The sequence below is a fragment of the Homo sapiens genome, chromosome 1, assembly GCF_000001405.40.
Source record: "Homo sapiens chromosome 1, GRCh38.p14 Primary Assembly".
Taxonomy (NCBI): domain Eukaryota; kingdom Metazoa; phylum Chordata; class Mammalia; order Primates; family Hominidae; genus Homo; species Homo sapiens.
The window spans coordinates 202146557-202167001 of record NC_000001.11 but is presented as its reverse complement, the minus strand read 5'-3'; the positions used below and the strand labels follow the sequence as shown (position 1 = coordinate 202167001).

General features: G+C 54.4%; 1 protein-coding gene across 16 annotated transcripts, besides 7 other annotated features; it reads left to right on the top strand.

Annotated features, from left to right (window-relative positions):
- Window positions 608-1187: an enhancer, noted in NCBI's record as "H3K4me1 hESC enhancer chr1:202134943-202135522 (GRCh37/hg19 assembly coordinates)". NCBI's record gives its function as "activates a minimal SCP1, AML or CMV promoter by ChIP-STARR-seq in primed H9 embryonic stem cells {active_cell/tissue: H9 hESC(primed)}" and the evidence as "EXISTENCE:reporter gene assay evidence [ECO:0000049][PMID:30033119]".
- Window positions 1831-2331: an enhancer, noted in NCBI's record as "H3K4me1 hESC enhancer chr1:202133799-202134299 (GRCh37/hg19 assembly coordinates)". NCBI's record gives its function as "activates a minimal SCP1, AML or CMV promoter by ChIP-STARR-seq in naive H9 embryonic stem cells {active_cell/tissue: H9 hESC(naive)}" and the evidence as "EXISTENCE:reporter gene assay evidence [ECO:0000049][PMID:30033119]".
- Window positions 2911-3579: an enhancer, noted in NCBI's record as "H3K4me1 hESC enhancer chr1:202132551-202133219 (GRCh37/hg19 assembly coordinates)". NCBI's record gives its function as "activates a minimal SCP1, AML or CMV promoter by ChIP-STARR-seq in naive H9 embryonic stem cells {active_cell/tissue: H9 hESC(naive)}" and the evidence as "EXISTENCE:reporter gene assay evidence [ECO:0000049][PMID:30033119]".
- On the top strand, window positions 5414-19989 carry PTPN7 (protein tyrosine phosphatase non-receptor type 7). Of its 16 annotated transcripts, XR_921906.2 has the most exons (12): window positions 5414-6457; window positions 7548-7721; window positions 8701-8884; window positions 9179-9263; window positions 11393-11469; window positions 12679-12816; window positions 13167-13277; window positions 14303-14460; window positions 16578-16691; window positions 17630-17767; window positions 18303-18448; window positions 18536-19986. XR_921906.2 is itself a non-coding variant. In XM_047426297.1 (11 exons), exons 2-11 carry the CDS (start codon window positions 7703-7705, stop codon window positions 18394-18396), a joined length of 1065 nt encoding a protein of 354 aa, XP_047282253.1. In that variant the 5' UTR covers window positions 5414-5615; window positions 7661-7702; the 3' UTR covers window positions 18397-19989. The 16 variants fall into 16 exon arrangements, 11 of the variants coding, with proteins under 11 accessions (XP_047282253.1, XP_011508122.1, XP_011508121.1 ...); XR_007062439.1 differs by lacking the exon at window positions 17630-17767; XM_047426297.1 differs by having other exon boundaries at window positions 5414-5615; window positions 7661-7721; window positions 8754-8884; window positions 18303-19989.
- Window positions 7110-7189: an enhancer, noted in NCBI's record as "active region_2329". NCBI's record gives its function as "activates an Ori minimal core promoter by ATAC-STARR-seq in GM12878 lymphoblastoid cells {active_cell/tissue: GM12878}" and the evidence as "EXISTENCE:reporter gene assay evidence [ECO:0000049][PMID:35858748]".
- Window positions 7450-7539: an enhancer, noted in NCBI's record as "active region_2328". NCBI's record gives its function as "activates an Ori minimal core promoter by ATAC-STARR-seq in GM12878 lymphoblastoid cells {active_cell/tissue: GM12878}" and the evidence as "EXISTENCE:reporter gene assay evidence [ECO:0000049][PMID:35858748]".
- Window positions 7640-7779: an enhancer, noted in NCBI's record as "active region_2327". NCBI's record gives its function as "activates an Ori minimal core promoter by ATAC-STARR-seq in GM12878 lymphoblastoid cells {active_cell/tissue: GM12878}" and the evidence as "EXISTENCE:reporter gene assay evidence [ECO:0000049][PMID:35858748]".
- Window positions 11869-11918: a silencer, noted in NCBI's record as "silent region_1699". NCBI's record gives its function as "represses an Ori minimal core promoter by ATAC-STARR-seq in GM12878 lymphoblastoid cells {active_cell/tissue: GM12878}" and the evidence as "EXISTENCE:reporter gene assay evidence [ECO:0000049][PMID:35858748]".
- Window positions 19990-20445: the final 456 nt, after the last annotated feature.

Below are 20445 nucleotides of genomic sequence, written 5' to 3'. Positions count from 1 at the left end.
GGTGAGGGGGAGGAGGGAGGGCAGCAGAAGTAGTAGTGGTCTCCTTCCTTAATGCCTCCCCTACCTGTAGCCCACTCCCAGCCCTCAGCTCTCCAGGGAGGAAAGTGTCCTGTGCTCTTGGGGAAGACCAAGAGGAGAGGTGGCTCTGCAAATGGACACATTTGCAGCTGGCTGTCCCACTCCTTGGCTCTGGAGGAGGGGCACAGTGTCTGTTGACTCCATCACCGAGTGCGAGATAGATAGTGTTTCTGTGGGGGTGCGTGTGGTCTTGGTGACACCATGTGGATGTGTGTTCCTGTGTCCTAGGTGGATGGCCAGCTGAGTGTGTGTCTCCTTTTGTATATCCATGTGGTACCACGCTCTTGTGGACAGAAGCACATACTTTGGCTGCTGAGTCACAGCAATTGTAGATCTAGAGCCCACCTGGCCCTTGGGCCTCCTCTGGTCCCACCTCATCACTGCCAGATGAGGAAGCTGATAACCAGAGAGGGGAAGAGCCCAAGTGTCTGAACAGAAAAGCTGGGCTTGAACCTGGGACCTCGGACTCCATAGAACAGAGATGGCAGACCCTGCTCCAAACCTCCCAAATTGGGGTCCTCTCAGCTGGGAATCCTCTGAGGAGCAATTCAAGTACCTGGGACTTTTGCTTGCCTTCCCCCACTTCTTTTCCCCGAATCAGCAGCGTCCATCCTGGTTCCCCTGCCCCTCCCAACCCCCACCTGGCTTTGGGCACTGCTGGAACCCAGGCAAGCCTGCCTGAGGCCTGGCCTCAAAGATAATGAACTTGGGGCTTTGCTTTACTCCTGACTAGAGCCCTTGAGTCACCCCGAGCTGCTCACCCAGGTGCTCCCACCTACAGACAGCTGAGGATGAGGAGTGAGAATGGAAGAAAAGGCTTTGGGCCCTGGGAGTGAAGCCCAGGACTCAGAACAAACTCAGGTAGTGGGGAGAGGGGATGTGTGGAAAACACACAGGTATAGAAGTCTGAACACCAACGCAGCCTCTGTGGTAGCTGGATTCTCCTGGGCCTGCCCCAGCAGGGAGGACAAGCCTGCCTCCAAGACCAGCTCAGCCCAGCTCCCTGCTCAGGCCACAGCCAGGGGCTGCTTGCTCCTCCCCCGCTCCACCTAGCCCCAAACCTCAGAGCCGCCCACCCGGCCCCTGGATGGGGGCCTGGAAACTCAGCACTGCAGACTCAGGAGATTTTCCAGGCCGTGTGTGCGCCTGCGCATATGTGCTCTTTTGAAAGGCGGGGGCGGCGGGCGGGGGAAGGTTGCAACCAGGGAAACTGATGTGAAAGGGAAGAGGTCCCAGTCTGGCCAAGAGGTGGCGGAAACATCGTACCTTCTCATCCCACCCTCATCCCACCTCACCTGGGGACATCTCACTCTGTTCTTTCTGGTAGCCTTGATCAGCAACCAAGAAGGGGAGAGGCGGGGTGGAGGCGCCCTAATTCGGAATCTAAGGAGAAGAGACACACAGGACACATGCCTAGGTAGAGGCAGAGTGTGTCAGAACCTGCTCAAGAGTCCCCACAAAAAAGCGGTCTGCGGGGCCCAGCACAGACTCCATAGCTAGTCCTTTGGACGGAGCCTTGAGGAGGCACCTGGCCCTAAGATGCACAGCTGCCAGCCCCCAGCGCAGCCTAGGGGACCGGGAGACAGGGCCCCTAGAGGTTCTGATAAATAAGCTGGGCATGGTGGCTCATGCCTGTAATCTCAGGACTTTGGGAGGCCAAGGTGGGCGGATCACCAGGTCAGGAGATCAAGACCATCCTGGCCAAAATGGTGAAACCTCGTCTCTACTAAAAATACAAAAAATTCGCTGGGTGTGGCGGCACATGCCTGTAATCCCAGCTACTCGGGAGGCTGAGGCAGGAGAATCACTAGAACCAGGGAGTTAGAGGTTGCAGTGAGCTGAGATGGCACCACTGCACTCCAGCCTGGTGACAGAGTGAGACTCCGTTTCAAAAAAAATAAAATAAATAAGCAGCAGCCTCCCCAGCCCAAACGTCTCCATTCAGCAAAAGAAAAGGTACCACGAGGGCTGTATCTCCTCCCCAGCAACCACCCCCACAGACAAACCCACATCCTCTCCCTAGAGAACCCCTGGGGTTCCCCCCCGCTACCCTGAGGTCTCAGGGCACCTTACTGATTCCTTCTGGAGAGAGCCAGCCAGGAGGCAGAGGAGAGAGCAAGGGGCAGGTCTGGGAGTGCTGGCTTCCAAATGTGAACTGGCCTGGCCTACAGCTGTCCCAGGCAGCGCTCTTCCGGCCCCTCCCTGCTCTCCCACAGCCTGAAGCCTGGCCTTGGGCAGCCCCCACACTGGAGGAAGATAATCACCGGGCAGCAGAGGGGCAGGGTGGCTCAGGACAGCCAAGTCGCCCACTCCCCCTGCTGCCTATACTATGGGGAAGGTGGCCAGGGAGTGGGGGAAGGCCTAGGTCCCCCTGACCAGGCCATGGGAGAGCAGGGGAGGGGCTGGTCATGTGTGGATTGACACTGTGCATGTGCATTTGTGCAAACGTGGGCCATGAGGGTGTACACACCTGTCTGGATGGATGTATGAGTGGGTGTCCGGGGACAACACAGAGCGGGAGGGAGACGGGAGCCCCTGGGAAGAAAAGGCCACATTGTAGAATAGATGTCCATTTGGCTGGCTCTGGGCTTGGGAGAGAGGGAGGGACTCTTCTATCCTAAAACCTTCCTGCCAGGGTCCTGAGTTCCAGCATCGGGCAAAGAACCAGGCACTTTCCTGGACCTCCTGGCAGGCTGGCCCTGGCATCCCAGTGCCAAGCAGGGCTGGATTACTGGTCCTCTCAGCCAGGGGTAAAGGGTATGGGATGTTCCCCTTCATCCAAAAGGTAGCAGGAGGTCCCTAGCTGGCCCGGCACAGGGTTGAAGCTTTGAGACAGGGGTGCAGTTGTCACTCTGGTCAGCCTGGACTTATCCCATGCCCTTAACAGCACTTCCCTGCCCCACTCACCCTGTCTCCCCTGCTGTCTCCCTGCTTCCTGTGGGATGAGGCTTCCCAGATCCAGTTCTTGGTGTTTCTGTCTCCCCGACACAAACAGGAACAAGCCAGGGCCTACAAAGTTGGGGCAGAACAAGCCAGCTCAGGCTGGCCTAGGGTTTTGGGGGTGGGAAGGATGGAGGAACAGCCACCCGAGATCCTAGTGCTTCTCCAGAGAGGAGCCGAGGAGGGCAGCTAGGAAGGGGGCAGAGCAGCTGGAGTGTGCAGGACCCAGCAGTCCTGGCCCCAGGCAGCTGACTCTCTCCCCAGGATCCTCCCCTTGGATTGTTAAAAGGTGGCAGCCTTTGCCTCTGGGGGCCAACTGCTCCCCAGCAAGGAGCTCCCTACTCCCTAGGGGCTGGCAAAGAGCAACGACTTCTGGGAATTCCAGATGTAATGTCCGCCTTTCCCCGGGCCTGGGCTAGGGAGGGGGGCGCTTCTGACACTTGGGGCAGGGAGCTGCGGCTCACAGCCCTGGAACTGGGAATCACTAGAGGGGAAAACAAGAGAGTCAAGACGTGTGTGGCCAGAGCTTGGGAGGGCTGAGGGCACCCACCACAGCCTCAGATGGGACAAGGCTGACTCTCAAGATGCATCATGCCCTGCACCAGTCCCTCCCCAGCCTGGCCTGGTGGCTTGGGACACCCCTCTTTGTCCTCCCTGGAGTGGACTCTGTCCCACCCGGGATGCTGGGAGACCCCTGGGAGTGACTCCTTCCTGCACTTCCTCAGTGCTCGGCTGGAAGTGCCCCGGCAGCCCGGGTTCAGGGAGAAAGTCAGCAGTGAGGAGGAAGAGGGAGGCTGGTGAGAGGTGAGACCCGGCAGCCATGACCTCCTCACCCTGTGCTGCTCCCAGACCCACTTCCCCAGCCAGCTCCTCCCAGCTCCTCGGTCCTCTGGCTGCTGACTCCCAACCTCTCCTCCGTGAGCAAAGCACACCATGGGCTGACAAGGGAGGTGCTATGATCATCCCCCAGTGGAGGGAGGAAGCTGAGGAGGAGCCTGAGACTCAGCAATTTGCCCAAGGTCACACAGTTAATAAGCTACGTTTAGACTCATTATGCATAGATCTTTCTGATTTCCAACTATTACTATACTTTCTCTGGAGTCGAGGGTGGCTAGAACCTAAATCTCAACCCAGGAACACAAATCGATTCGAGTGATGGAAGTTTGAGAGCTGCTGTGACCTTTTGGCCCCAGGGGTGGGAAGGTTCTGGAGGGGAGAGGGAGTCACGCCCAGGAGCCTTCCAACAGCCCGGATGGGACAGAGTCCACTCCAGAGAGGGCAGAGAGGGGCGTCCCAAGTCACCAGGCCAGGCTGGGGAGGGGGAGGTGCAGGGCGATGACGCATGTCTTGTGCCATCTGAGGTTGCAGTTGGCATCCTCAGCCCTCATGAGCTCTGGCCACACACCTCCATGGATGTCCAGGTATCCCTAAGCACAGGGGAAGAAGGAGTGGGCAGGAGCCAAGGAGTGACTGTCCCCTCTACCCCACATCCACCCAGAGGGAACAGGGGATCTTTGAGAGGTCTTGCCTAATGCTCAGCCACTACCCCCACCCCCAACCCCAACTATCTTCCCCATCGCCTGGCTCCCAGCTTCCTTGCTGTGAAGCTCAGCTTCCAACTGTCCAGCCACTGCTAGGCCTCAGTCTGTGGGGGAAAGGGGTGGGCTCACAGCCAACAGGGCTCAGACCCTGGAAACTTGGGGGGACCAGGCAGACCTGTGTGGGGAGGGCTTTGCCGCTTCCTCCTCCCACCCCTGTGGTGTCCTAGCTTCCTGTTCTTGATAACAATCAGCATAGGCTCAGAGCCGGGCCCTCTTTCCAACCCCCACCTGCCCCCTCCTGTGTCCCCAGGGCCCCCACTACCCACCAGTGGAAACACTGACTGGTGTGGGGGGTGAGGCAGAGGCCAGTCTCCAGGTCACTGCTCGCAAGCATGTTAGGGATTCCCAGGTTCCTGCTTCCCTCCAGTCTGTCCTGAGCACGGGAACCAACCCCTTTCCCAGCCCTAATCGGCCTCCTCCTCAGGGAAACCCACCCACTCCGGAGAGGAACGCAGGCTGCAGGGAAGGAGGTGCCAGGATCAGCTGGCCATGGAGGGGCTCAAAAAAGAGCCAGCCCCTGTCCCCACTGCCAAGAGCAAGGGCGGGTGCTGGGAGGCCTTCTGAGCCTCTGGGGGCTGTTCTTGTTCTTCGTCTCAACCCTCCTCCTCAAGGGGCCAGCAGAAGGCCAGCCCCCTCCCGACCACCCCCTCCGGCATGCCTACCCCCTGTGCCTAGGGTACCTCATTTCTTTTTTGCTGTCACCATTTGACAGCTGAATCAGGGAAGTGGGAGGAAGAAAGAGGACGTGGATTGTGCATGTTGGGGGCCGGGAAGGGAAGGGCGTTTGAAATGTTACAAGGTAAAAGGAGGCGTGCAGCGAGCATGAACCGGCTGGGCTGCTGGCCCGCAAGGAGCCTGCCAAGGTCAGGCAGGGGCAGTGGGCAGAGGAGTCTTGGACTTGGGGGCCACCCTTCAGGTCCCAGGCATCCAGGCACCCCAGCAGCGAAGAGGACATGGGAGTCCCCTGGTGTGAGGGCCAGAGACTGTCCACTGTCTGTAAGTCTTCTAAGTAGATGTCAGGGTTCTGGGAGGAGGCCTGCAGGGGGCTGAGGGCCCAGGGGAAGCCCCTCGGACTCCCTCCCACAAGTGGACTCTGCTATCTGCTTCCTGCTGGGCTGGCCTACACTCAGGCCGTGGGCTGTGGAGAGCTGGGCCGTGGCACAGGCGTGGAGACGACCTTTTTGGCCTGGCCCCGGCCCTTTCCTTCACATTGTGAGGCATGGATTCTTGCTTCTTCTTTTTCCCCACCCCGAGTCTGTGCCACATCTGCTCTGGGAAGATGTGGTCTGTGCTTGGCCATGAATTCCCAAGGCTTGAAGCAGCAAGGGCTTTGAGGGAGAGGGCCTTGAGGGAGAGGGCCTTGAGGGAGAGGGCTGTGGGGCAGAAGCAGAGAAGGAGAAATAAGCCTCCGGCCAAGGTCAGGTTGAGCAGGAGAGCCTTGGGTTCTTTGTGGGACAGCACAGAGCTGGGGGTCAGGCGAGCTGTGCCCAGCAAGTAGGCAGCGGCTGGATGTGACAAAGACCCAGAGGAGAAACACAGAAGAGGGGAGAGGGTCTGGAAGCTGGGGAAAGCAGGATGGTCGGGAAGGCCTGGCCCCTCACCCATTCCCAGGGAACGGGGCCTTGGGCCCCAGAAGGGCACAGGCGGGAGGCAGCCGACCCCTGGTGGCAGCGGCAGCAGGCACAGGAGGGCAGAATGCAGCTGGGGTGTGCGTGGGTGGCAGCAAGGAGGGGCGGAGGGAGGAAGCTGGCTTCCTGGAGCCTTCTCAGCCCTCAAAGACAGACCGACAGACAGACAGACAGCTGGCAAGAGGCAGCCTGGGGGCCACAGCTGCTTCAGTAAGTATCTGAAGGGGGGACTGGGAGTCCTGTGGCCCCGGGGGGTGCGAACTCCGGGGATATAAGAGGGCATCTCTAGGAGGGAGTGCGGGAGGGCGAGTGGGGCGCCACAGTGCCTGGCTGGGGTATGGGTGCTCACAGACCTGATGTCCCCAAGACGGGGGTGAGCAGGGAAGCCACAGGGAGCTACAAGGAGAGCAGAGGCTGAAGGGACCTTTTCTGCTACCAGAGACCCTCGCTCTACCACTCACACCTGTGCCAGGCCCATTCTGTCCCCTCACCTCCGTCCCTGCTGCCTTGGTGATTCAACACCCCCGCCACCTCGCCCACTGTGACCCTGGCTCTGGGAGATAGGGACTGCCCCCAAGAGGAGATGGTCCCACCACCTCCATGCCTCCTGTCTTGCCCCCAGCTGTCGCCTCACCATGCGCTGTCGTTCAAGGGCTTGGTGAGGCCATTTCCTGTGACGGTTACAGAGGCGGGAGACGGGGGGATGGGCAGGAGGAGGAAGGAAACACCTCCAGCCTACCTCCCTGGACAGAGACCCCAGAAGCCAGAAACAGACCTGGGAGTGGAACAGCAGCAGTTAGGAGAGGACCCTGCTGGGGTCCAGGAGCCCGCCTGCCTGGCTGCCCAACCAGCTCCAACACTGCTGGAGGCCTCCATTCTCTGTTCAGGGGAAGGCCCACTGGTTAGCTCAGAGATGGCTTCTGCGTGCTTTCTCCCTTCCGTCCTAGAGAACACATATTTTCTGTTTCCTCCCTTGCCTTCTCCCACTTGGACCTGCTCAGAGCCCTGTGTACTCTGGTGTGTGGCCTCTCTCCCCTCTCTCTTTTCCTCCTTCTGGATTCTTTCCTATCTTCATCCACAATCTCTACCCTTTATCTTGCCGTTACTCTACCCCGAGACTGCCTTCTGCCCTGGGTCCCACCAAATAGATCCTGTCCTTCCCTTAGTGAAAATGAGGCCACCTCTTGGGGAACAGAAGACGCCCCAGTGAAAACAGAGTGCAAACCTGGCCTGGCATGGGAGCCTCCTTCTGGCCAATCAGGCAGGCCAGAGAACAGCAGCGGAGGGCCCTGTCTTTCAGGCAGACCTCATGGCTGAGTGAGCCTCCCCTGGGCCCAGCACCCCACCTCAGCATGGTCCAAGCCCATGGGGGGCGCTCCAGAGCACAGCCGTTGACCTTGTCTTTGGGGGCAGCCATGACCCAGCCTCCGCCTGAAAAAACGCCAGCCAAGAAGCATGTGCGACTGCAGGAGAGGTGAGATCTTCCCTGGGGGAGGGGTCTTCCGAGCCCTGAGCCCCCATTCCGCTCCTCCCTTCCTTCCATCTGCCCCTCCAGCTCTGACAGCAGGGTCCAGAGGGCCCTCAGTTGTTGACTCCAATTTGGAAAGGAAACCAGTAGTGCTCATTTGCATGTCTTTTGCATGTCTGGAGCACAGAGTTTCATATCAACCATGAGCCTGCTCCCTAAATTCCAGGCAAGGCCCACAGCCTTCTTGGTGCTGGATGCATGTCGGAGCCACAGGGCCTGGCTGGGAGTGGGAAGAGGCAGGCAGCTGGAAGGAGCAGTTGAGTTCAAGGCTGCCCTGTTCTGGCTGACAAAGGGAGAGGGCTGAGCCAGGCATGGTAGCTCATGCCCAAAATCCCAGCACTTTGGGAGGCTGAGGTGAGAGGATCTCCTGAGTCCAGGAATTAGAGACCGGCCTAGGCAATATAGTGAGACCTCCTCTCTCTCAAAAAAAAAAAAAAAAAGAGGGCACACAGCAGGGGCCCAAACCCTAAATTTACTGGGCTACCAGGTTAAAGGAAAGATAAAGAGCGGCCCCCTCAGAGGTGCCTTATAACAGTAATACTTGTAAGAAAAGCAAATATGGTCAGGCACAGTGGCTCATGCCTATAATCCCAGCACTTTGGGAAGCCAAGGCAGAAGGATCACTTGAGCCCAGGAGTTCAAAACCAGCCTGAGCAACAGAACAAGACACTGTCTCTCCAAAAAAAAAAAAAACTTAAATTAGCCAGGTGTGGTAGCATGTACCTGTGGTCCCAGTTACTCTGGAGGCTGAGGTGGGAGGATTGCTTCAGCCCAGGAGTTTGAGGCTGCTGTGAGCCATAATAGTGCCATCACACTCCAGACCTGGGCAACAGAGAGAGACCCTATCTCTAAAAGAAAAGATAAAAAGAAAAGAAAAGCAAATATGATTGGGTGCTCACTAGGCAGTGGTGGGCTATGCCTGCAGGCGGGGCTCCAATGTGGCTCTGATGCTGGACGTTCGGTCCCTGGGGGCCGTAGAACCCATCTGCTCTGTGAACACACCCCGGGAGGTCACCCTACACTTTCTGCGCACTGCTGGACACCCCCTTACCCGCTGGGCCCTTCAGCGCCAGCCACCCAGCCCCAAGCAACTGGAAGAAGAATTCTTGGTAAGAAATTGGGGTCCCCTCTGAATCGCTCTGCCCTCTGTATCAGAGGCAGCCAGCTGGAACCATTCTCTCACGGGCACCCTGGGCAAGTCTCCCCTTTGGGCCCCTTAGGAAAGAGAACTTCAGGGCTGAGGGAGGGGCTGCCCCCAGGCTTCCCCTTCTGCCCCCACCCCATCTAGGCCTACATACTATTGTCAAGAAGGAATGGCCAGAGTCCAGCTGTTCTAGAAAAAGGTAGAAGGAGAGAAAAGGAGGCTAGGAGTCAGCTGCTCACCCATTTCCTCCCCCTGCCAGAAGATCCCTTCAAACTTTGTCAGCCCCGAAGACCTGGACATCCCTGGCCACGCCTCCAAGGACCGATACAAGACCATCTTGCCAAGTAAGAACTGCTGCTGGGATGAAGGGAGTCGGGTACAGTCCCTGGGGCTAGAGAACTTCAGAGGACAAAGTACACAGTTTCAGCCAGGGAAGATCAACCTTGCTTGGCACATCTTCTCTCAGCAGAGAAAGGGGGAAGAAGGAGCAAGAATCACAACAGCAGCAATAATAATGTTTGCAGATATGTACCCTGGGCCAGGCCCTGTTCTCAATCCTTTTTTTTTTTTTTAAGACGGAGTTTTCACTCTCGTCACCCAGGCTGGAGTGCAATGGCGCAATCTGGGCTCACTGCAACCTCCGCCTCCCGGGTTCAAGCGATTCTCCTGCCTCAGCCTCCCGAGTAGCTGGGATTACAGGCATGCGCCTCCATGCGTGGCTAATTTTGTATTTTTAGCAGAGGTGGGGTTTCTCCATGTTGGTCAGGCTGGTCTCGAACTCCCGACCTCAGGTGATCCGCCCACCTCGGCCTCCCAAAGTGCTGGGATTACAGGCGTAAGCCACCGCGTCCAGCCTCAATCCTTTATATTCACTCATTTCTCACAACAATCCCATGAAGTTGGTACTGTGATGACCATTTTACAAGTGAGGAAACTAAGGCACAGAGAAGTTGAATATCTTACCTAAGATATTCAACTTAGCTACTTGCACCAAGCCCCTTTCCCTGTCTTCCTCTTGCATGGGAAATGCCCAGCCAAGGCTTGCAGTGAAGGAAGCACCACCAGGAGGGCTCCCAGAGAGATGGCTTTGAGAAAGTCAGATGGAGACAGGGCAACGGCCAGCAAGAGAGCAGTGGAGGCGGGGAGGGAGGACACTGTGCTAGGAGGGGGTGACCCTGCAAACTGGCAGACCCGGAGCAAGCACCTTCTATTTTTCGGAGGCAGGCATGAGGCCCCGGAGCCTCTCCCTCCCTCCCCTGCTCTCCCTACAGGGAAGCTACTCCCAGCTTGAGGCTTTAGCTCAGTGAGCACTCGGGCCCTGTCTCCTGCTAACCCTCCTGGAGTGTCCTCTGCCTGCATGGGCGGATCAAGGTGCTATTAGCGCTATTCCAGGCCAGGGGGAGGAGTAGCCCTTGTTCTTGGCCTAATTCTAATCAGCCCTGCAGCCACCAGAAAAGGGAAAAATTCCTTTGCCTGAGATTCCCCTGGTCCCCAGGGTACCTTCTGTCCATGACCAGGCTGGCATGAGCAGAGCGAGAGTCTCTTCTCCTTTCCTCACAAGCCAGCTTCTTCATCCATGTTTGGGTTTCATTTAGAGAAATCCTTCCCCCTTAGAGGCAGAGGCCAAATGCCTCGTGGCTGAGCGGAATCTGAGTCCTAGTCCCACTTCACAGCTATGTGATATCTGGCAAGTTGCTCATGTGAATCCCATATTCACCATTAGAAAACAAATTCTTCTTCCTCTACATCTCTTTTTCCATCCCTAGTGGCATAATCTTGTTCTAAACCTGTACTGATCTCAAGGATAGAATACTGTATCTATTAGAATATTATATCTAATATTGTATCTTCCCATTTGGTCTCTGCTGTTCCGTTCCCTTTCTTCTCTAGTCCATCCTATACAGCACCACTCAGTTAATCTTCCCAAACTATTGTTTTGATCATGTCACTCTCCTGCTCAAAAACATTATACAGCTTCCTACTGTCTGCGTATAAAATACTTCAATAGGGGCCAGACATGGTGGCTCACACATGTAATCTCAGCACTTTGGGAGGTTGAGGTGGGAGAATTGCTTGAAGTCAGAAATTCAAGACCAGCTTGGGCAACAAAGTGAAACCCAATCTCTACAAAAAACGTAAATAAATAAATAAATAAGCAAGCCAGGTGTGGTGGCATTTGCCTATAGTCCCAGCTATGTCAAAGGCTGAGACAAAAGTATCACTTGAGCCCAAGAGTTAGAGGTTACAGTGAGCTATGATCGCACCACTGCACTCCAGCCTAGGCAACAGAATGAGACCCTGTCTCTAAAAACAACAACAAAAACAACAACTTCAGTGGGTGTAAGGCCACCTGCTATACACAAGGTGCTATGACTGTGATGAGCACAGGAACTCTCCTCTTTCTGACCCTGCTTGAGTCTGTGTTAGTTGGTCACCTTCTGACCTCTGACCTCTGCTGATTTTTATTTCCTAGATCCCCAGAGCCGTGTCTGTCTAGGCCGGGCACAGAGCCAGGAGGACGGAGATTACATCAATGCCAACTACATCCGAGTGAGTGGCCTGGCTGCAGTGGTGGGCGGGGAATGGGGGAATTCTCAGACGTCTGAGAATATCTTCCAGCCATGGCTGGTGGATCAGGTGCCTGCATTTCCTACCCTCCCTGCTCCAGCTCACTGCTGTCATAGCCCTACCAAGCTGGGCTGGTACTGAACATGCCCCAAAACACCAACCTAAAAAACGGAGCAGATGTTGAAAAATATCTGGAGAGACCACCAAGTCTCCCTAACCTCCACTATCAGTCCTCCCATGCCACCCTCTAAACTTAGCAGGAAGTTAGCATTGTTGAACCCAATCTCCAGCTGCTTAAGAGCTCACAGCTCCCGAGAACTGCATAGGTGATGCCAGCACTAATGGGACCTCCCCGCCAACTTACCTTAACTGCCCCTCAGATAGCCCCTCTTATATGAAGATGGTTGATTGACGTCAAGCTATAGGAAGCTCCAGGCCAGGTGGGTGTTCCACGCCAGCTTCTCGCTGCTGTGGGCCCTAAGGAGATGTAAAAGCAGCGCTCTCTAGTGACTCAATGTGGGTAAGACATCAGTCAGGGGCGCAGGGAGGCGAAAAGCTCTTAGCTAGGGAAGCCATGGGGAAACATGATCTTACATTTGCCGGCCAATACCGGATCAACTGCAGTCTGGATTTCACCATCTTGAGAAGCAGGAAGCTGAGGATCCTGAAGGTGAGAAAATCAGGTTAGGGAGAGTGTGCTACATTTTGCTACTACTTTCATAGAAAAGTAGTAACCTGTAAATGTGAAACTGTCACTGAACAAATATTAAACACTGTTTAGGTATTTTGTGCTAGAAGAAAGCAGCAGGGGAGGAAGGGAATAAACATTTATAGAGCACTTGCTATCGGCTAGACTCTCAATATATCTTACTGAATTTAATCCACTCTACATTCCTACAAGATAGATATTATTATGCCCAATTTACAGATGATACCACTGAGGCTTACGGAGGCTAGGTAACTGGCTTATAGTGGTACAGCCAGGAAACAGCAGAACAGGGATCTGATCCTCATTCCAGAACCCGTATCCTTTCCATCATGTGGCTTCTGAGTGTGCGTGTTCGTGCATGTGTACGTCTACACGTGTGGTTCACAGCTTCAGGCTGACCCCAGCACCTGAGGCATCTAGGATCTCCCCAGAGCTCTGCTCTCACTGCTCCCCACCCCTTCCCCTGTGCTTCCACCTTCCAGGGCTATGACGGGAAGGAGAAGGTCTACATTGCCACCCAGGGCCCCATGCCCAACACTGTGTCGGACTTCTGGGAGATGGTGTGGCAAGAGGAAGTGTCCCTCATTGTCATGCTCACTCAGCTCCGAGAGGGCAAGGAGGTAGGAGGCAGAGCCACAGTTCATGATGAACCCAGAAAGTGCTATGCCCACCCCACCCCCACCCCACACACAGGGCAGCTCAGAACCAGAGGTTTCCCTGGGAGCCAGCCCCAGCTCATACCTCTCAGAAAGTTCCCTGAGATATAGCCCTGGGAGGCTGTCTATGGCCAAAATACGGGATAGGGTGAGCACTCTGCTTGCAGGTATCAAGCTCAGAAGAGCCAGGCTCCCTGTTGCTGACCTCCCATCCAGTAGGGGTGGAGGATGGGGAGGAGATACCAGCCCCTCTCTGCTGCCCTGTCACCTGCTCCAGCTGACCCTCTTCTGACTCCCAGCTCCCTCCCTCCTAGAAATGTGTCCACTACTGGCCCACAGAAGAGGAAACCTATGGACCCTTCCAGATCCGCATCCAGGACATGAAAGAGTGCCCAGAATACACTGTGCGGCAGCTCACCATCCAGGTACCACCCCCCCGGAGCCAGGCCCAGTGGGAAGTTGGGCCGCCCACAGCATCTCTGGGACTCAGGCTGGCTCTTCACTAGGAGCCAAGGGTTTGCTCTTCTAAACCATCTTAAACCCACATCTATAGCAGAAAGAGAAACTTGAGCACTGTCCTCAGCCTCTAGTCTAATAGGGCAGAGCCAATAAGCCAAATAGGACTACCGGGAAGTACTCACCCATCTGTGTAAATGGTCAGGCGGGGACAGGCAGGATCCAGGAGCAGGGCCAAGGGAAGGAGAGGAGGTTAAAGGAGATGTGGAAGGCCAGGTGTGGCGGCTCATGCCTGTAATCCCAACACTTTGGGAGGCTGAGGGGGGCGGATCACTTGAGGTCAGGAGTTCCAGACCAGCCTGGCCAACATGGTGAAACCTTGTCTGTACTAAAAATTACAGCTGTTTGGAAGGCTAAGACAGGAGAATCACTTGAACCCAGGAGGCAGAGGTTGCAGTGAGCCAAGATTGTGCTACTGCACTCCAGCCTGGGTGACGGAGTGAGACTGTCTGTCTCAAAAAAAAACAAACAAAATAAAACAAAAAAAGAGAAAGAGATGTGGAATAACATGTACACAAGGGCTTTTAAAATGCCTTCTATTATTTTATGGTGTTTTATATTTTTGAAAGCATTCCTCTATCAACTCATTCTCCTCCAAATATCCTGGCAAGTAAACCAGTAAGATATCACTGTTCCCATTTTCCAGGTGAAGAAAATGAGATCAAGGGACTTGCCCAAAGTCATGTGCTTATGGGAAGCAGAGCCAGGGCTTGAATTTGGGTCTCTCCCCTCTCCCAGGACAATGCTCCTTCCCGGGATTTTGAAGGGGGAAGTGGTGGAGAACAATGAGCACGAAAATTGCAACCTAGCTTGCTTTGAGTAGATGACCCCCCCACAGGGTAATTCCAGCCCTTGCCCTCCTCAGGCACCAGAGAAGAAGGTAGACAGTGCCCTCCACCCTGACCTTGGTTCTCATGCCTTGTCTCCAATCCAGTACCAGGAAGAGCGCCGGTCAGTAAAGCACATCCTCTTTTCGGCCTGGCCAGACCATCAGACACCAGAATCAGCTGGGCCCCTGCTGCGCCTAGTGGCAGAGGTGGAGGAGAGCCCGGAGACAGCCGCCCACCCCGGGCCTATCGTAGTCCACTGCAGGTGCGTGGCCCTCCCTTCACTGCAGCCTGTGGACTGTGCTCCCCTCCCCTGCCCCCTGGGTCTCTCCTGGGGAAGGGTCTGAGCAGAAAAGCATCAGGCAAGCCTAGTCCTTACTCAGACATGACTCGCAAGGCCATTCAGCAAGGGCTCTGTTCTTTTTACCTCCTTCACGCAGAACCCAGACATCTGGGCTGGACACCCAGGCCCCATCCATAGAGGGGATGGAATATCAGGAAGATCCCAGTCAGCTGCAGGAGGACATAAACAGGATTCCAGCTGTTGGGGAACTCATTTACTTATTCAACAAATATGTATTGAAAATCCTATTATTGGCCGGGCACGGTGGTTCACACCTATAATCCCAGCACTTTGGGACGCCAGGGCTGGCAGATCACCTGAGGTCAGGAGTTTGAGACCAGCCTGGCCAACATGGTGAAAACCTGTCTCTACTAAAAAATACAAAAATTAGCCAGGCGTGGTAGCACACACTTGTAATCCCAGCTACTTGGGAGGCTGAGGCAGGAGAATTGCTCAAACTCTGGAGGCAGTGAGCCGAGATCACACCACTGCACTCCAGCCTGGGTGACAGAGCGAGACTCCATCTCAAAAAAGGAAAACCTATTTTTGTCAGGCACGGTGTTAGCTGCTAAGGAGACAGCTATGAACCAAGCAGTTTGGTTTCTTCCCAGACAGTTTTATAGGCTGGTGGGAAAGAAGGCAGATTAGGCTGGGTGCAGTGGCTCATGCTTATAATCTCAGCACTTTGGGAGGCTGAGGCGGGAGGATCACCTGAGGTCGGGAGTTCAAGACCAGCCTGACCAACATGGAGAAACCCTGTCTCTACTAAAAATACAAAATTAGCCACACATGGTGGCGCATGCCTGTAATCCCAGTTACTCGGGAGGCTGAGGCAGGAGAATTGCTTGAACCCAGGAGGTGGAGGTTGTGGTGAGCTGAGATCGCACCATGGCATTCCAGGTTGGGCAACAAGAGCAAAACTCTGTCTCAAAAAAAAATTAAATACCACGCAATGTGATGAGAGCTGTGATGGGGATATTATGGGGACCATAGAACCAAGTCTCCTAAACCAGACTTTGACCAGAGAAAGTTTTCCAAGAGAAAGGCCATCTAAGCCAAGCTAAGACCTGAAAGGTGAATTAGCCAAGTGAAGAGAGGGAAGGGAACACGTTCCAGGCAAGTGGAAGAGCACATGCTAAGGCCCAGAGAAGAAATGTGAAAATGGATACACTGCTGGGAGCAGGGTTACAGGTTAGGCCCAGAGGTTGTGTGTGGGGTAATGATGAGAGATGGGTTTGGAAGGCCAGTGAAGGTCAGATGATGAGGGGACTTGGAGGACTGGCTAAGACACTTGGATTTGCCATTTTAAAAGAACACTTTGGCTATAGAGTGAAAAATGGATTGGGCCAGAGTGAGGGGGTGTCGTAGGGGACAAGACTAAAGAAAGGGACCATTTGGGAGTGCATATCCTAAATAAAACAGAGCACAGAGGCAAAAGGCATGACACAGGGGCCTCCCAGCCCACCCACAGGTAGCACTGGGACATGTGCAGGGAGGTCATTAGGGGCTCACGCAAGAGGAAGGGGAGGCCTAGGGGGTTTTGAAATAAAGAGAGGGCACGATAGAGAAAGCAGAACAGAGTGGAGAGAAGACTGTGGGAGGGCGCCAAGGTGGGAAACAGAGGGGCCGGGCGTGGGCTGCGTGGAAGATGAGTCTGAGCTGAGAGGAAGTCAAGGTTAGATAAGGAGGGCTCGAGGGTCAGCACACCCACAAGTGGGAAACTGTCTGTTGGAAACCACTGTAGACTCAGCAGAAGGGAGATCGTCAAAATGTCCACAGGGACCAAAAGGTGGCCTGCAACAGGCTTACAGTAAGGCTGGTAAGAAATGTAAACTCCTCCCATGCCAATTAAAACCTGCCTCCAGCAGGGCCCCCAAGGGGACTGGAAAGCAGAGTACTGCTACCTGCCTCCATCTCCAGAGCCCTATCCCCAAAATATAGCACCTGCAGGTCCCATTTCTTTCTCCATAGTTTGGGGCCTGGCTCTCATATTCCCTGGTCTCCCATGACCTCCCTGTCCCCTCCCTGGCTATCTCCAGTGCAGGGATTGGCCGGACGGGCTGCTTCATCGCCACGCGAATTGGCTGTCAACAGCTGAAAGCCCGAGGAGAAGTGGACATTCTGGGTATTGTGTGCCAACTGCGGCTAGACAGGTGGGTCTGTGGGTGTAAACAAGGCCAACAACGTTAACGGATGGCATCAGTGCCTCTGGGCCCCAGAGTTCTGCTAGGCCCATCACCATCAAGCACTCCTGCAAGAAAGGAAGAAACCCTTTCTGCTTAGAGCTGTTTATTTTACAACTAACAACCAGGAAAAAATATCTATCTGGATGGCCGGGTGCGGTGGCTCACACCTGTAATCCCAGCACTTTGGGAGGCTGAGGCGGGTGGATCACCTGAGCCCAGGAGTTCGAGACCAGCCTGGCCAACATGGTGTAAACCCTGTCTCTACTAAAAATACAAAAATTAGCCAGGCCTGGTGCGGGCCCCTGTGATCCCAGCTACTCAGGAGGCTGAGGCAGGACAATTGCTTGAACCCAGGAGGTGGAGATTGCAGTGAGCCGAGATTGTGCCATCGCACTGCAGCCTGGGTGACAGAGCAAGACTCTGACTCAAAAAAAAAAAAAAAAAAAAACAAAAAAAAGAATATCTGTCTGGAATGTTGGCTTGGATGCCTGGAATTAAACATGATATGAGGCAGCAACAAGTAGTGCAAAGAAGATCACTGGGTGGAGGCAGAGCCGGTGTTCAGATTCTGACATCTGTCTCACTGAGATGTCACTAGATTTCTCTGAGCCCCCATTTCTTTTTTTTTCTTTCTTCTTTTTTTAATAATAGAGATGGGGGTCTCACTATGTTGCCCAGACTAGTCTCGAACTCCTGGGCTCAACAATGCCCACTTGGCTTTGCAAAGTGCTGGGATTACAGGCTTAAGCCACTGTGCCCAGCCCCCACTTCTTCTTTATCTAGACAGAGATAATGGCTCCTTCCCCCAGAAAACTGTTGTAAGAAATGAGTTAACTTATATGAAAATGTTTTGGAAATGGAAACTACTATACAAATGTATGGAATCATTATTTTTACTTTTTAAGATTATTAGAAAGAAGGAAACTTGAGGCTCAGGAGTATTCCTGGCCCGACCCAAGGCTTCAGAGATCTGGTTTTGTCCCAGGAGCTGAGTGGATCAAGGAAGACCAAGTGTCAACATGGGGCATCACCCCTCAGCACGTGTAAGGGGCAGAGGACTTCTCTCACAGCAGATCTGAGGGGCAGCAATGAGGAGTAGAAAGTAGAAAAGATGAATATAGGTGGTGGGGCATGGTGGCTCATGTCTGCAATCCAAGCAGTTTGGGAGGCCAAGATGGGCCAATCACTTGAGGTCAGGAGTTCAAGACCACCCTGGCAACATGGTGAAACCCTGTTTCTACTAAAAATACAAAAATTAGCTGGGCAAGGTGGCAGGCACTTGTAGTCCTAGCTACTCAGGAGATTGAGGCAGGAGAATCACTTGAACCTGGGAGGCAGAGGTTGCAGTGAGCTGAGATCATACCACTGCTCTCCAGCCTGGCTATCAGAGTGAGACTCTGTCTCACAAAAAAAAAAAAAAAAAAAAAAAAGTGAAAAGATGAATATAGGCAAAGGAGTTGGCATGTTCTTTGAGAAAGTCAGGACTTTCCCAGTAGGACCACAGGGATGTTTGACTGGAGCCATTCAGCCAGCACCCTGACCCTCCTTCACTCATGGTCTGTGTGTTTCTCCTTGCAGAGGGGGGATGATCCAGACGGCAGAGCAGTACCAGTTCCTGCACCACACTTTGGCCCTGTATGCAGGCCAGCTGCCTGAGGAACCCAGCCCCTGACCCCTGCCACCCTCCGGTGGCCCAGGTGCCTACCTCCCTCAAGCCTGGGAAGGTGGGTCTGGGGAAAGTGGGCCGAGTGATCTGGGGGTACCCCTTGGGTTGGTGTGGGGAAGGAGTGCCTCCTTAGTGGTGCTTGCAGTCACAGGAAGCAGCAGCAGTAAGGACAAGGGGCCGGATTCCAGGTCTTCAACACTGGCCACTCCTCTGCTTCCTCTGTTGGCCCCAGATGGACAGTAAGGGGAACCTCCAATGTCTCTCTGAACTTAAAGACAGGAGCTGGCATTTATGACAGACAAAGAAAGAAGCCCAGGTGTCCTGGTGTTCTCTGAGACACTCTTTGTGAGCTTCAGTTTCCTGTTCTATAACATGAACATAAGTGCTTAGCTGCCATGAGGGAAAAGTAATGAGAGAAGTTTCTAGAAGCCACTCCAGCCACTCCTTCCTGGGGCTGACAAAAGGGTGATTCCAAGATCATCCTTCACCCGAGGTCCTGCCCAAGCACAGGCCAGATGCAAGAATGGGGAAAAGTCTGGTCCTGATCTCCAAGTCTCAACATCCTATCAGTGACTCTGCTCCCTGACCACACATCGGAAGGGCTGGATGACCCCAATCAAAAGAAAGAACAAGGACTCTGGTTACCCTTGCCTCCACCCATGTGTCATAAGAGTAGGCTACAGAGGTGACCAGGCCTGGCAGTTGAAATCTCTGGAAGAGGGAACATGTGGGGACTACTCAGAGGCAAAGAGGAGCTGCTCCTGCCTCCATGGTTGCTGGCCACTCCCACCAACTACTCTTAGGGAGGCTAAGCAGTCTCTGTTTTGCTTCCATGGCTCAAATAATACCCTGGGTATGCAGGACCCACTATACCTTGCATTTGCTGAGTACACCTAGAGAGCTTGGCTGTTTCCAAAAACAATCAGGGTCATAACCATCCATGCAGACATGGAGGCTCGGCTGAACCAGGACTCCTCACTGTCTACCTGAGAGAATGAGCACCCCTCATCCATCTCAGCATCAACACAATTTCCAGGGGACCTCAGGTCTACCTCAGGACTGAACGCCACACCTCAGGATTCCTCCTCCTTGAATCTGAGACTGGCTGCCCATTCTGAGATGGGGATGAAGGTAAGATGCCGCATCACCAGGCACGCCGCCCCTGACAGCTGCCTTGATACCAGCTCTCTGTGGAAACCCCCGAGGAGTTGGATCTGGAGAACAGCTGGGCCTCCTCACTCAGGACTTCTCTCCTGAAGAACACGCAGTGCTAAAACTGAGGATGATTTCCCTAATGCTTCTGCTTGGCCTTATGGAGGAGCTGCTCCTTCCTTACAGCCTTGGGGATGGACTTGCCCACACCTCCACCTCCCCTGAGCCCTGTGAGAGGCACGACTGTCTATGCCAATGAGGCTCGGTGGGGGGCTCTCAAGTGCCTGATCCTGCCCTGGGCTCAGAGCCAGCCCAGAGGGAAGCAACTGCACAGCCCCACAGGCCCTCCCTGGCACTGTCCCCCCAACCCCATCTCAGAGCTCAGAGGGTACAAGCTCCAGAACAGTAACCAAGTGGGAAAATAAAGACTTCTTGGATGACTGACTCATTCCTTCTTTCCATCTTCTTCTTGGCCCTCTGGGGCCTCTTTGTAGCAAGAGAGAAAGACTGCAGACCAGGGACAGGCAGGCTGCAAATCTTTGCCCTTGGGATATGCACTTTTCTAGCACTTCCAAGGACATAAAGTAAGGTGAAACCAAAGTCAATTTAGGAAGTGAGACAGGGTGGACCCTCATAGCCTACCCAGGCAGCTGTAACAATTCACACTACCGTAAACCATGTGGCTTCTAAACAACAGAAATGTATTGCTGGCCTGGCGTGGTGGCTCATGCCTGTAATCCCAGCACTTTGGGAGGCCGAGGCAGGCGGATCACGAGGTCAGGAGATCCAGCTAACACAGTGAAACGCTGTCTCTACTAAAAATACAAAAAATTAGCCGGACGTGGTAGCACACACCTGTAGTCAGCTATTCGGGAGGCTGAGGCAGAAGAATTGTTTGAACCC

Excerpts from the sequence above, each read along its gene's own strand:
- PTPN7 (XM_011509819.2), top strand. The coding sequence starts at position 6,195 with ATGGTCGGGAAGGCCTGGCCCCTCACCCATTCCCAGGGAACGGGGCCT. Across the intron at positions 7,722-8,700 it reads CATGTGCGACTGCAGGAGAG|GCGGGGCTCCAATGTGGCTC; the intron begins GTGAGATCTTCC and ends CTATGCCTGCAG. Across the intron at positions 8,885-9,178 it reads AACTGGAAGAAGAATTCTTG|AAGATCCCTTCAAACTTTGT; the intron begins GTAAGAAATTGG and ends TCCCCCTGCCAG.